We start from the raw sequence: 15,152 nt of genomic DNA on the forward strand, positions 1-15,152 counted from the left end.
TGAACCCGGGAGGCGGAGCTTGCAGTGAGCCGAGATCGTGCCACTGCACTCCAGCCTGGGCGACAGAGCGAGACCCCGTCTCAAAAAAAAAAAAAAAAAAAAATACACACACACACACACACACACACACACACACACACACACACATACATATATATATAGTTGCTAAGTGTAGATACCCTGGTCTGACTATAGACAGACTAGAAACACTAGAACTTATTTCTTCTATCGAACTGTATGTTAGTTAGATATAAAACATTAGAACTTATTCTTCTATTTAACTGTATATTTGTACGTATTAACCAGCCTCTCTTTATACTCCCTCCCACGCACCCCTCTCCTTCCCAGACTCTAATATCTATCATTCCATTCTGTTTTCTTGAGATCATGGTTTTTACCTTCCACATATGAGTGAGAACATGTAGTATTTGTCTTTCTGTGCCTGGCTTATTTCACTTTACAATAATGACCTCCAGTTCCATCCATATTGCTGCAAACATGATTTTGTTATTTTTATGGCCAAATGGTATTCCATTGGGTATATATAACCCATTTTCTTTATCCACTCATCCATTGATGTACACTTATGTTGATTCCATGTCTTTGCTATTGTGAATAGTGTTGCAATAAACCTGCGAGTACAGGTGTCCCTTTGATATACTGATTTTACTGATTTCTTTCCCTTTTGATAAATACCCGGTAGTGGGAATGCTGGATTGTATGGTAGTTATATATTTAGTTTTTTGAGAACCCTCCATACTGTTTTTCATAGCGGTCGTACTAATTTACATTCCCACCAACAGGGTATATGAGCTTCCTTTTCTCTGCCTCCTTGCCAGCATCTGTTATTTATTTATCTATTTTTGTCATTTTAATAATTGCCAGGCTGGGCAGGGTGGCTCACACCTGTAGTTGCAGCACTTCGGGAGGCCAAGGTGGGATGATTACTTGAGCCTAGGCGTTAGAGACCAGCCTGGGCAACATGGTGAGACCCCAGCCAGGGCAACATGGTGAGACCCCATCTCTAAAAATAAAATAAAATTTAGAAAATAAAAAATAACAATAATAGCCATTCAACAGGGTAAAATGATATCTCATTGTGGTTTTGATTTACATTTCCCTGATGGTTAGTGATGTTAACTGTTTTTTCACATACCTGTTGGCCATTTGTATATCTTTTGAGAAATATCTGTTCATGACCTTTGCCCACTTTTAAATGGGATTTTTTTTAACTATTAAGTTGTAAAATTGAAGAGGAGGGAATTATCCCTAACTCATTCTACAAGACCACCCTTACCCTGATACCAAAACCAGAGAAGAACACAACACAAAAAAAGAAAACTTACAGGCCAATATTCCTGATGCACATAAAACACAAAAACCCTCAAAAAAAATTCTAGCAAACTGAATCAAATAGCACATCAAAACCAGAACACACCATGGGATTTATACCAGCAATGTAAGGATAATTTGACATACACAAATCAATAAGCGTGTTACATCACATCCACAGAATGAAGGACAAACACCATATGATCCTCTCAATAGATACAGAAAAAGCATGTGATAAATTCAACATCCCTTCATGATAAAAATTCAACAAACTGGCCAGGCACAGTGGCTCACACCTGAAATCCCAGCACTTTGGGAGGCCGAGGAGGGCAGATCATGAGGTCAGGAGTTCGAGACCAGCCTGGCCAATATGGTGTAACCCCATCTCTACTAAAAATACAAAAATCAGCTGGGTGTGGTGGCACACGCCTGTAGTCCCAGCTACTTGGGAGGCTGAGGCAGGAGAATTGCTTGAACCCGGGAGGCAGAGGTTACAGTGAGCCAAGATTGTAACACTGACTCCAGCCTGGTGACATAGCGAGACTCCATCCCAAAAAAAAAAAAAAAAATCAAACTAGGCATAGAAGGAACATACCTCAAAATTATAAAAGCCATATATAATAAACCCACAGGTAAACATCATACTGAGTATATAAGTTTAAAGTTTAAAGCCTTTCCTGTAAGAACTGAAACAAGACAAGGATTCCCACCCTCACCACTCGTATTCAACTTAGTACTGGAGGTCCTAGCCAGAGCAATCAGTAAAGAGAAAGAAATAAAAGGCATTTAAATTGGAAAAGAGGAATTCAAACTGTCCCTTTTTGCAGATAATATGATCTTATATTTAGAAAAACCTAAAGACTCCACAAAAAATTTCTTGGAAATGATAAATTCAGTAAAGTTGAAGGATATAAAATCAGCATACAAAAATCAGCAGCATTTCTATACACTAATAATGAAATAGCTGGAAAATAAATCAAGAAAGCACTCCTATTTACAATACCTACCAAAAAAACTGGGAATAAATTTAACAAAGGATGTGAAAGATCTCTGCAAGGAAGACTACAAAACACTGATAAGGCTGAGTAGAATAGTTCACACCTGTAATCTCAGCAGTTTGGGAGGCCAAGGCAGGAGGATTGCTAAAAGCCAGGAGTTTGAGACCAGCCTGGGCAACAAAGCAAAATCCTGTTCTCTACAAATAAAAAATTTAAAAAGTTAATCTGGTGAGGTGGCCTACACCTGTAGTCCCAGCTACTTGGAATGCTGAAGTGGGAAGGTTGCTTGAGCCCAGGAGTTCAAGGCTGCAGTGAGCTGTGATCACACCATTACACTCTAGCTTGGGTGACAGAATGAGACACTTTCTCTAAAGAATATATATATATAAATTTAAGTGGATGTATTGTAACCCTGATAGCAACCACTAAAAAAATTTATACAAGATAGAGTAAAAAATTCAATGAACTAAAATGAAATATGAAAAAAATTATAAAATCCAAAAGAAGGCAGAAAAGGGAAATAGAGGAACAAAACCCTGAGGATACAATAGAAAATAAAATGTATAACTCAGTCTAAACACAACAATAATTACATTAAATCTAAATGGTCTAAAACCACTAATTAAAAGGCAGAGATTGTCAGATTGGATTTTTTTTTAAAAGACCAAATTATACATTTTTATTTAGAAGCCCACTTTAAATATAAGGAGATAGGTGGACTAAAAGTAAAACACTGGAAGAAGTTATAACATGCAACATGAAATTTGGGAGGGGAAACAGATCCAGACCATATCGACCAATGTCAAGGTGGTTTATTGTGTTTTCTTCTAGGAATTTGAGAGTTTCAGATATTACATTAAGTTTTTAATCCATTTTGAGTTAATTTTAATAACTAGTACAATTTCAATTTTTATACCTTCTTTTTTCCTTTTCTTTCTCTTTTTTTCCCCAAACTGTTAGAACTAACAAATAAATTTAGTAAAGCTGCAGGTTACAAAATCAACATAAAAAAATTAGTTGCATTTCTATACACTAACAACAAGCTATACAAAAGAGAAAGTAAGAAAGCAATTTTATTAATTACAGCATAAAAGAATTTTTTTTTTACATGTGGATATCCTGTTTTTCTCCACACCACTTATTGAAGAGACTCTTCTATCTGGATTGTGTTCTTTGCATTATTAAGAAAGATTAGTTGGCTATATATGCATGGGTTTACTTCTGGATTCTCTATTCTGTTCTGTTGGCCTATGTGTCTATTTTTCAGCAAGTACTACACTGTTTTGATTGCTATAGCTTTGTAATGTAGTTTGAAATGAGGAACTATGATGCTTTAAACTTTGTTCTTCTTCGAGATTGCTTTGGCTCCTCAGGGTCTTTCATGGTTCCATATGAATTTTAGGATTGTTTTTTCTATTTCTGTGAAAAATGCCCTTGGAATTTTGATAGAGATTACATTGACTCTGTTAATCAGAGTCTATAGAAGGTGGTATTATTATGGACATTTTAACAATAGTAATTATTCCAATTTAAGAATATGAGATATCTTTCCATTTATATGTGTTTCTTCAGTTTCCTTCATTAATATCTTATAGTTTCCAGTGTACAGATTTTTTACCTTCTTGGTCAAATTTATTCCTAAGTATTTTATTCTTTTATATATTTATTTATATATATGTATATATAATTTTATTTGAAATATTCATATATATATATATATATATATATATATATATATATATATATATATATATAAAATCTCCCAGGTTCTTGGAAAATTTCTTTCTGGTTTTCAGCAGTTTTACTATGTGCCTAGATGTTATTTCCTTTGTATTTATCCTACTTGAGGTTCAATTGAGTTTCTTGGATTTCTGGGTTTATGTCTTTCATTAATCTTGGAATGTCAATGGCTATTTTCTCTTCAGATGTTTCTTCAACCTCATTTTCTTTTTCCTTTCCTACTAGGATTCCAAAAACACCTGTATGAGACCATTTAATATTGTCTCATAGATCTCAGATGACCTGCTCGTTATTTTTTCACTGTTTTTTCCTTTGTATTTCAGCTTGTATACACTTGTATGTTCACTGCTTTTTTCCTCTGCTTTTTCCAGCTTCTTGGTAAGTGCATCTGAGTTTTTTTCAGACAGGGTCTCACTCTGCCACCCAGGCTGGAGTGCAATGCCACAATCAAAACTCACTGCTGCCTCAAACTGCTGGCCTCAAGCAATTCTCGCACCTTGGCTTCCCAAAGTGCTGAGATTACAGGCATGAGCCACCATGCCCAGGCCCAATTATTTCTCTCTCTCTCTCTTTTTTTTTTTTTTTTTTTGAGACGGAGTTTTACTCTTGTTGCCCAGGCTGGAAGTGCAGTGGCGCAATCTCAGCTCACTGCAACCTCCGCCTCCCAGATTCAAGTTGATTCTCCTGCCTCAGCCTCACGTGTAGCTGGGACTACAGGCACGTGCCACCATGCCCAGCTAATGGCTAATTTTTGTATTTTTAGTAGAGATGGGGTTTTGCCATGTTGGCCAGGCTGGTCTCAAACTCCTCCAATTATTTCTTTATTCTTGATTTTTGTTTTATTTCTAGCATTTCCATTTTGTTCCTTTTTTATCATTTCTATATCTTGGCTGAAATTCCTCATCTCTTCACTATGTTGCCCATCTTTTCCACTGAAACCTTCAGCATTTTTATTATAGTTATTTTCTCTTTAGACATTCTGGGCACCTTATCACTGACAACATTCCAGAGACCTCTTAGTACTTCACAGTGGTGCCACCAACCTTCGAAATCCTTGGGAGAGCTATCTCTGCTTTACAACTTAGCTTCCAGCTTTTTGGTCATTGGGTAATTAACTTTACTTTCTCATCTGACTCTGAATTTTGGTGTATCTTCCTCTCTTCCTCCCCTTCTCCTCCTGCCCACTCTGCACTCCCCTCTCCTTCTCCTTCTCCTTCTCCCTCTCCTTCTGTCTCCTATTTCTCTGTCCCAATTCTGTCAGGGAAGCTGCTTTACACTCTGGGTAGAGGCCACACATGGCTCAAGGAGAGTTCCTCTCCACTCCCTTACCCCACTCCTAGTCACAGAGCTGAGAATCCAGAGTGTGGATGGGTTTCTCTCAACTTGTCCAGCTTGATGCCCCTTTCCTGCCTTCAAAGACTTACTACCTTACATTTTGAAGAGACCTTGAATGCTTCAAAAGGATCTCTCACCTCACCTGCACGATTATGCCGAAGCATTAAGTGGAGTTACGTGGGAAAGGGTTTGTGAGTGAGAGTGAAAACTCACTTCTTGGCTGGGAATCCTTGGAATTCTTATCTATCGTGTTTATGACGTGTTCCTCTTCCCATCTCTCTGACAAGAATGAGAATGGCTGTGGGTTTCTTCTATAGCTCACCATTTTGTTTCTAATCTATTTCTTCTTTAAGAATTGTTTCCAGCAACATAAGTTCTATACTTTAACGTGAATCCACATTTAGCAAAATGACCTTTTATCCCAAATTGTGTCTTTCTTTGGTTACCAGTTTGATATCTGCCGACCTCCTGTTTCAGTATACACTAAATATTTGTACATTAAGTAAAATGAGGACAACAAGATGTTTTCAAAAGATTCCTTTTGATTGTCATGTACATAGAAATTACATTTCAAGTAAAAATCCCAAAAAATTAGAAACAGTGGGGAGAGGAGGCAGAGGAGAAGGGAGGCCTTGGACTCCTTGATGAAATTAGGCCCACCAAGTTTCAGGCACAGCAGTTTCTGAATACTAGCAGCCTATATCCATGAAAGGGTAGAATTCATTTGTCTAAGGCTTTAAGTTTCTCTTCTCTTTATCTGATAACCAAGGAATCTAGAATTCCAAAAATGAGTTAATATTTGAAGAGACTTTATATATTGACCTTAGTAAACATCAAGGTGAAAGGCACACTCCAGGCCAGAGTGATAAATACACAAAGAGAAGGCTGATGTGCTTAAAAGATTTAAAAGGAATTAAAATTTATTAGTCCTACCGATAGAAACAATTTATAAACAAATAATTGGGATAATTTATTTTTATGGTTATATGTAATATGACCAATTTCTATTTAATATATTTCTATGCCTGAAGTATTATTCAAAAATATATTGAAACAAATCAAACCTTAGTATTTACTACCTTTAATTTTTATTTATTTATTTATTTAGAGACAGGGTCTTGCTCTGTCACCCAGGCTGGAGTGCAGTGGCATGATCATGGCTCACTGCATCCTTGAACTCCTGGGCTCAAGTGATCCTTCCACCTCAGCCTCCCAAATAGCTGAGACTACAGACACACGCCACCACCCCCAACTAGTTTTTAACTTTTGTAGAAATGGGGTCTCATTTTGTTGCCCAGGCTGGTCTCAAACCTCTGACTTCAAGTGATTCTCCTGCCTCAGCCTCCCAAAGTGCAGGGATTATAGGCATGAAACCACCACACCTGGTCTCTGTATTTTAAATGTAGCAAATTAGAAGATGGAAGTTGTTAGACCTTGGTAGCTAAGGTATGAGGACACAAAGGCGTAAGAATGATACAATGGACTTTGGAGACTTGGGCGGGGGTGGGGGGGCAGGATGGGAGTGGGGTGAGGGATAAAAGACTATACATTGGGTACAGTGTACACTGCTCAGGTGATGGGTGCACCAGAATCTCAGAAACCACCACTGAAGAACTTATTCATATAACACCACCTGTTCCCCAAAAACCTATTGAAAGAAAATTTAAAAAAATAAAAAATAAAATTTAAATTTTAAAAAAGAGAAATTGTTAGGCCCGTCTCTAAAATCGAAGATCTTTCTCATCATTTTTCATTTTGTCACAGGCTAAAGGAAGAAGAAGCACCTTTGCAGTCTGGACAGAAAATGAAATTTACCTCGGATCCATTCTTCTTAAGTTTGCCAGATTAGTAACTACCACAGAACTGAAAAACATCCTAAGTCTATCGGTGACTGCTACTCTGACCATAGACAGGGTTGAGTATACAGGACACCCTCTGGAGATTGCTGTGTTTTTAAATTATTGCACTGTATGTAACGTCACCAAAAAGATTTTCTTAGTGATATATAATGAAGATACAAAACAGTGGGTTTCCCAAGACTTTACATTAGATGCCCCTATTGACAGTGTTACCATGCCACATTTTACATTTTCAGCACTGCCAGGATTACTGCTATGGAACAAGCATAGTATCTACTATTGTTACCATAATTTCACCTTTACTGGGATTTTACAGACACCTGCAGGACATGGAAATCTATCAATGCTATCAAATGACAGCATTATTCATGAAGTTTTCATAGGTAAGGCATTCTCAGTCCACTAACATTATTCTAGATTTCACTATAGACATCTTCCTTATAATGATGTAACACTTTTTAATGTACCAATGTGTGGCGTTTTTGGCAGCCAAAGGTGCACTTCTTATCACCTACAAATGAATTGACTTTAAATACAAGTAATGTTAACTATGATCTCACATAGCAAAAGGGCAAACTCAATTTCTTTTTGCCGGGGAGAGGGGAGTTTCATTTTGGTCAATCAGTAGATTCTAACTAAGCAATTTATATATACATCGTAGGGTGTAGGAGGTGCTGTGGTATTGTGTTACGTTTCCTGGGGCTCCCGTAACAAAGTACCACAAACTGGATGACTTAAAACAACATAAATGTATGACTTCACAGTTCTGGAGGCTAGAAGTGGAATATCAAGGTGTTGATAGGGCCGTGTTCCCTCTGAAACCTGTAGAGGGAGGTTTTGTGTTATACAGCACATATGAAACAGGATCATATGTGTTTTTTAAACAACCATGAGCCACAGTGATAAGAAGACAAAGTTAGAATCATACATTGGGGATAGATTTTAGAGGTCAGATACCCAGTTTGAATGTTGTACTGAAGGTCATTCAGAAACAATGAAATATAACACGCTCAAACAATTCATAAGTGTATGAAGTATGAAGTTAAAGGCCTTCATCTCTCACCATTCTCATTTCCCAAATAACCAACTATTAAGAAACTCCTGTGAGGCCAGGCGTGGTGGCTCACGCTTCTAATGCCAGCACTTTGGAAGGCCAAGGTGGGAGGATCACTTGACTCCAGGAGTTCGAGTCCAGCCTGTGCAACATGGTGAGACCTCATCCCTACTAAAAACTTAAAAATTAGCTGGGCATGGTGGTACACGCCTGTGGTCCCAGCTACTCAGAAGACTGAGGCAGGAGGATCACTTGAGCCCGGGAGGTCAAGGCTGCAGTGAGCCATGTTCACCTCACTGAACTCCCCAGCCTGGACAACAGAGCGAGATCCTGTCTCAAAAAAAAAAAAAAAAAAAAAGCTCCTGTGAGTTTGTCCAGACTTTCAAACAAGCAAATACTAAATATAATGGGCATGTTTTCAAAACAATACATATAATAGATATAAAACGAATGCCATTTTAACTGCTGTGTATTGTTCCACTGTCTATGCACACTACTGTCTAATTAATAGGGGTGTAGATAGATATTTAGATACATATTAGCCTTCAGTTCTTTTTCTGTTACAAATAATGCTGCAGAAAATATGCATATGTACACACACTGATACAAGTGTTTCTGTAATATAAATTACTGGATATAGAATTCCTGAATCAGAGATTACGAATATTTAAAAAGTTGATAAATCCTTCTCACTTACCCACCAGCAAAGTTTGTCACAGTCTAAACTCCCCCAAAAGTATTGAAAATGTATCATTTTCATAGAATCTGTTTAACAGTTACTGGTTATATAGAAGAAAAATGTTATTTTATTGCACATATCTTTTATAATTAGATGTTTTATCTAGTTTCACAAATTTATTGGCCATATTCTTCTGTGAATTTCCTTTTTTTCTTGTCATTTCCTTATTTCTGTTTTATTTTTTATTTGTTTATTATACTTTAAGTTCTGGGATACATGTGCAGAATGTGCAGGTTTGTTACATAGGTATACACGTGCCATGGTGGTTGACTGCACCCAGCAACCTGTCATCTACATTAGGTATTTCTCCTAATGTTATCCCTCCCCTACCCTCCCAACCCCTGACAGGCCTTGGTGTGTGATGTTCCCCTCCCTGTGTTGATGTGTTCTCATTGTTCAACTCCCACTTATGAGTGAGAACATACGGTATTTGGTTTTCTGTTCCTGTGTTAGTTTGCTGAGAATGATGGTTTCCAGCTTTATCCATGTCCCTGCAAAGGACATGAATTCAGCCTTTTTCATGGCTGCATAGTATTCCATGGTGTATATGTGCCACATTTTCTTTATCCAGTCTATCACTGATGGGCATTTGGGTTGGTATCCAGCCTATCATTAATGGGCATTTGGGTTCCAAGTATTTGCTATTGTGAACTGTGCTGCAATAAACATAGGTGTGCATATGTCTTTATAGTAGAATAATTTATAATACTTTGGGTATACACCCAGTAATGGGATTGCTCAGTCAAATGGTATTTCTAGTTCTAGATCCTTGAGCAGTTGCCACAGTGTCTTCCACAATGGATAGACTAATTTACACTGCTACCAACAGTGTAAAAGCATTCCTATTTCTCCACGTCCTCTCCAGCATCTGTTGTTTCCTGACTTTTTAAAGATCACCATTCTAACTGACGTGAGACGGTATGTCATTGTGGTTTTGATTTGCATTTCTCTAATGACCAGTGATGATGAGCTTTTTTCCATGTTTGTTGGCTGCATAAATGTCTTCTTTTGAGAAGTGTCTGTTCATATCCTTCACCCACTTTTTGATGGGGTTATTTTTTCTTGTAAATTTGTTCAGGTTTTTGTAGATTCTGGATATTAGCCCTTTGTCAGATGGATAGACTGCAAAAATTTTCTCCCATTCTGTAGGTTGCCTTTTCACTCTGATGATAGTTTCTTTTGCTGTGCAGAAGCTCTTTAGTTTAATTAGATCCCATTTGTCGATTTTGGCTATTGTTGCCGTTGCTTTTGGTGTTTTAGTCATGAATCTTTGCCCATGCCTATGTCCTGAATGGTATTGCCTAGGTTTTCTTTTAGGGTTTTTGTGGTGTTAGGTCTTAAGTTTAAGTCTCTAATCCATCTTAATTTTTGTATAAGGTGTAAGGAAGGGATCCAGTTTCAGCTTTCTGCATATGGCTAGCCAGTTTTCCCAACACCATTTATTAAATAGGGAATCCTTTCCCCATTGCTTGTTTTTGTCAGGTTTGTCAAAGATCAGATTGTTGTAGATGTGTGGCATTATTTCTGAGGCCTCTGTTCTGTTCCATTGGTCTATATATCTGTTTTGGTACCAGTACCATGCTGTTTTGGTTACTGTAGCCTTGTAGTATAGTTTCAAGTCAGGTAGCGTGATACCTCTAGCTTTGTTCTTTTTGTTTAGGATTGTCTTGGCTATACAGGCTCTTTTTTGGTTCCATATGAAATTTAAAGTAGTTTTTTCTAATTCTGTGAAGAAAGTTAATGTAGTCTGATGGGGATAGCATTGAATCTATAAATTACTTTGGGCAGTATGGCCATTTTCACAATACTGATTCTTCCTATCCATGAGCCTGGAATGTTTTTCCTTTTGTTTGTGTCCTCTCTTATTTCCTTGAGCAGTGGTTTGTAGTTCTCCTTGAAGAGGTCCTTTACATCCCTTGTAAGTTGTATTCCTAGGTATTTTATGCTCTTTGTAGCAACTGTGAATGGCAGTTCACTCATGATTTGGCTCTCTGTCTGTTATTGGTCTATAGGAATGCTTGTGATTTTTGCACATTGATTTTGTATCTTGAGACGTTGCTGAAGTTGCTTACCAGCCTAAGGAGATTTTGGGTTCAGACAATGGGGTTTTCCAAATATACAATCATGTCATCTCCAAACAGAGGCAATTTGACTTCCTCTCTTCCTATTTGAATACCCTTTATTTCTTTCTCTTGCCTGATTGCCCTAGCCAGAACTTCCAATACTATGTTGAATAGGAGTGGTGAGAGAAGGCATCCTTGTCTTGTGCCAGTTTTCAGAGGGAATGCTTCCAGCTTTTGCCTATTCAGTATGATATTGGCTGTGGGTTTGTCATAAATAGCTTTTATTATTTTGAGACACATTGCATCAATACCTAGTTTATTGAGAGTTTTTAGCATGAAGGGGTGTTGAATTTTATTGAAGGCCTTTTCTGCATCTATTGAGACAAACATGTGGTTTTTGTCATTGGTTCTGTTTATGAGATGGATTACATTTATTGATTTGCATATATTGAACCAGCCTTGCATCCCAGAGATGAAGCCGACTTGATCGTAGTGGATAAGTTTTTTAATGTGCTGCTGGATTTTGTTTGTCAGTATTTTACTGAGGATTTTTGCAACGATGTTCATCAGGGATATTGGCCTGAAATTTTCTTTTTTTGTTGTGTCTCTGCCAGGTTTTGGTGTCAGAATGATGCTGGCCTCATAAAATGAATTAGTGAGGAGTCCCTCTTTTTCTGTTGTTTGGAATGGTTTCAGAAGGAATGGTACCAGCTCCTCTTTGTACCTCCGGTAGAATTTGGCTGTGAATCTGTCTGGTCCTTGGCTTTTTTTGGTTAGTAGGCTATTCATTACTGTCTCAGTTTCAGAACTTGTTATTGGTCTATTCAAGGATTTGACTTCTTCCTGGTTTCATTTTGGGAGGGTGTATGTGTCCAGCAATTTATCCATTTCTTCTAGATTTTCTAGTTTGTTTGCATGGAGGTGTTTATTCTCTGATGGTAGTTTGTATTTCTGTGGGATCAGTGGTGATATCCCCTTTATCTTTTTTTATTGTGTCTATTTGGTTCTTCTCTCCTTTCTTCTTTATTAGGCTGACTAGTGGTCTATTTTGTTGATCTTTTCAAAAAACCAGCTCCTGGTTTCATTGATTTTTTTCATAGATTCATAGATTTCATAGATTCATAGATTCATAGATTTCAAGATTCATAGATTCTTTTCAAAAAACCAGCTCCTGGATTCATTGATTTTTTGAAGGGTTTTTCGTGTCTCTATCTCCTTCACTTCTGCTCCAATCTTAGCTATTTCTTGTCTTCTGCTAGCTTTTGAACTTGTTTGCTCTTGCTTCTCTAGTTCTTTTAATTGTGATGTTAGGGTGTCAATTTTAGACCTTTCCTGCTTTCTCCTGTGGGGATTTAGTGCTATAAACACTGCTTTAGCTCTGTCCCAGAGATTCTGGTACGTTGTGTCTTTGTTCTCATTGGTTTCAAAGAACTTATTTATTTCTGCCTTAATTTATTTACCCAGTAGTCATTCAGGAGCAGGTTATTCAGATTCCATGTAGTTGTGTAGTTTTGAGTAAGTTTCTTAATCCTGAGTTCTAATTTGATTGCACTGTGGTCTGAGAGACTGTTTGTTATGATTTCCATTCTTTTGCATTTGCTAAGGAGTGTTTTACTTCTAATTAATTATGTGGTCGATTTTAAAATAAGTTTGATGTGGTGCTGAGAAGAACGTATATTCTGTCAATTTGGGGTGGAGAGTTCTGTAGATGTCTATTAGGTCCGCTTGGTCCAGGGCTGAGTTCAAGTCCTGGATATCCTTGTTAATTTTCTCTCTCGTCGATCTGTCTGGTATTGACAGTGGGGTGTTTAAGTCTCCCACTATTATTGTGTGGGAGTCTAAGTCTCTTTGTAGGTCTCTAAGAACTTGCTTTATGAATCTGGGTGCTCCTTTATTGGGTGCATGTATATTTAGGATAGTTAGCTCTTCTTGTTGCATTGATTCCTTTACCATTATGTAATGCCCTTCTTTGTCTTTTTTGATCTTTGCTGGTTTAAAGTCTGTTTTATCAGAGACTAGGATTGCAACCCCTGCTTTTTTTTTTTTTTTTTTTTTTTTTTTTTTTTTTTGCTTTCCATTTGCTTGGTAAATATTCCTTCATCCCTTTGAGCCTATGTGTGTCTTTGCACGTGAAATGGGTGTCTTGCATACAGCACACCAATGGGTCTTGACTCTTGATCCAATTTGCCATTCTGTGTCTTTTAATTGGGGCATTTAGCCCATTTACATTTAAGGTTAATATGTTTTGTGTGAATTTGATCTTTTCATTATGATGCTAGCTGGTTATTTTGCTCGTTATTTGATGCAGTTGCTTCATAGTGTCGATGGCCTTTACAATTTGGCATGTTTTTGCAGTGGCTGGTACTGGTTTTTCCTTTGCATATTTAGTGCTTCCTTCAGGAGCTCTTGTAAGGCAGGCCTGGTGGTGACAAAATCTCTCAGCATTTGCTTGTCTGTAAAGGATTTTATTTCTCCTTTGCTTATGAAGCTTAGTTTGGCTGAATATGAAATTCTATGTTGAAAATTCATTTCTTTAAGAATGTTGAATATTGTCCCCCACTCTCTTCTGGCTTGTAGGGTTTCTGCAGAGAGATCTGCTGTGAGTCTGATGGGCTTCTTTTTGTGGGTAACCCAACCTTTCTCTCTAGCTGCCCTTAACATTTTTTCCTTCATTTCAACCTTGGTGAATCTGATGATTGTTTGTCTTGTGGTTGCTCTTCGCGAGGAGTATCTTTTTGGTGTTCTCTGTATTTCCTGAATTTGAATGTTGGCCTGTCTTGTTAGGTTGGGGAACTTCTCCTGGATAGTATCCTGAAGAGTGTTTTCCAACTTGGTTCCATTCTCCCCATCACTTTCAGGTACACCAATCAAATATAGGTTTGGTCTTTTCATATATTCCATATTTCTTGAAGGATTTGTTCATTCATTTTCATTCTTTTTTCTCTAATCTTTTCTTTATGCTTATTTCATTAAGTTGATCTTTAATCTCTGATATCCTTTCTTCTGCTTGATCGATTTGGCTATTGATACTGGTGTATACTCCACAAAGTTCTCGTGCTGTGAAGCTCCATCAGGTTATTTATGTCCTTCTCTACATTGGTTATTCTAGTTAGCAATTCATCTAGCCTTTTTTCAAGGTTCTTAGTTTCCTTGCATTGGGTTAGAACATGCTCCTTTAGCTCAGAGGAGTTTGTTATTACTCCCCTCTGAAGCCTACTTATGTCAGTTCATCAAACTCATTCTCTGTCCAGTTTTGTTCCCTTGCTCACGAGGAGTTGTGATCCTTTGGAGGGGAAGAGGCATTCTGGTTTTTGAAATTTCAGTCTTTTTGCATTGGTTTTTCTTCATCTTTGTGGATTTATCTACCTTTGGTCTTTGATGTTGGTGACCTTTACATGGGGTTTTTGTGTGGATGTCCTTTTTGTTGATGTTGATGCTATTCCTTTCTGTTTGTTAGTTTTCCTTCTAACAGTCAGGCTCCTCTCCTGCAGGTCTGCTGGAGTTTGCTGGAGGTCCACTCCAGCCCCTGTTTGCCTGGGTATCACCAGCAGAGACTGCAGAACAGCAAAGATTGCTGCCTGTTCCTTCCTCTGGAAGCTTTGTCCCAGAGGGGCACCCGCCAGATGCCAGCCAGAGCTCTTCTGTATGAGGTGTCTGTCAACCCCTGCTAGGAGGTGTCTTCCAGTCAGGAGACACAGGGGTCAGGGACCCACTTGAGGAAGCCGTCTGTCCCTTAGCAGAGCTTGAGGGCTGTGCTCGGAGACCCACTGCTTCTTCAGAGCTGGCTCACAGGAACGTTTAAGTCTGCTGAAGCTGCGCCCAGGGCCACCCCTTTCCCCAGGTGCTCTGTCCCAGGGAGATGAGGGTTTTATCTATAAGCCCCTGAGTGGGGCTGCTGCCTTTCTTTCAGAGATGCGCTGCCCAGAGAGGAGGAATCTAGAGAGGCAGTCTGGCTATGGCAGCTGTGCCGAGCTGTGGTGGGCTCCGCCCAGTTAGAACTTCCTGGCAGCTTTATTTCCACTGTGAGGGGAA

At 38.3% G+C, this 15,152-nt stretch overlaps 1 protein-coding gene across 23 annotated transcripts in view; it reads left to right on the forward strand.

The window, feature by feature from the left end:
* Positions 1 to 15,152, forward strand: part of CATSPERE (catsper channel auxiliary subunit epsilon) — a 189,263-nt gene that overhangs the window by 102,257 nt on the left and 71,854 nt on the right. For all 23 annotated transcript variants that reach the window (XR_001737095.2, XR_001737096.2, XR_001737099.2 and 20 more), the window contains one exon: positions 7,170 to 7,647. Coding sequence is in view for 20 of the 23 variants with exons in the window: in XM_011544138.3 (XP_011542440.1) it covers positions 7,170 to 7,647 (478 nt within the window). In the remaining 3 variants the exon portion in view is untranslated. The remainder of the gene's footprint in view (positions 1 to 7,169; positions 7,648 to 15,152) is intronic.

Source organism: Homo sapiens, chromosome 1, assembly GCF_000001405.40.
Source record: "Homo sapiens chromosome 1, GRCh38.p14 Primary Assembly".
Taxonomy (NCBI): domain Eukaryota; kingdom Metazoa; phylum Chordata; class Mammalia; order Primates; family Hominidae; genus Homo; species Homo sapiens.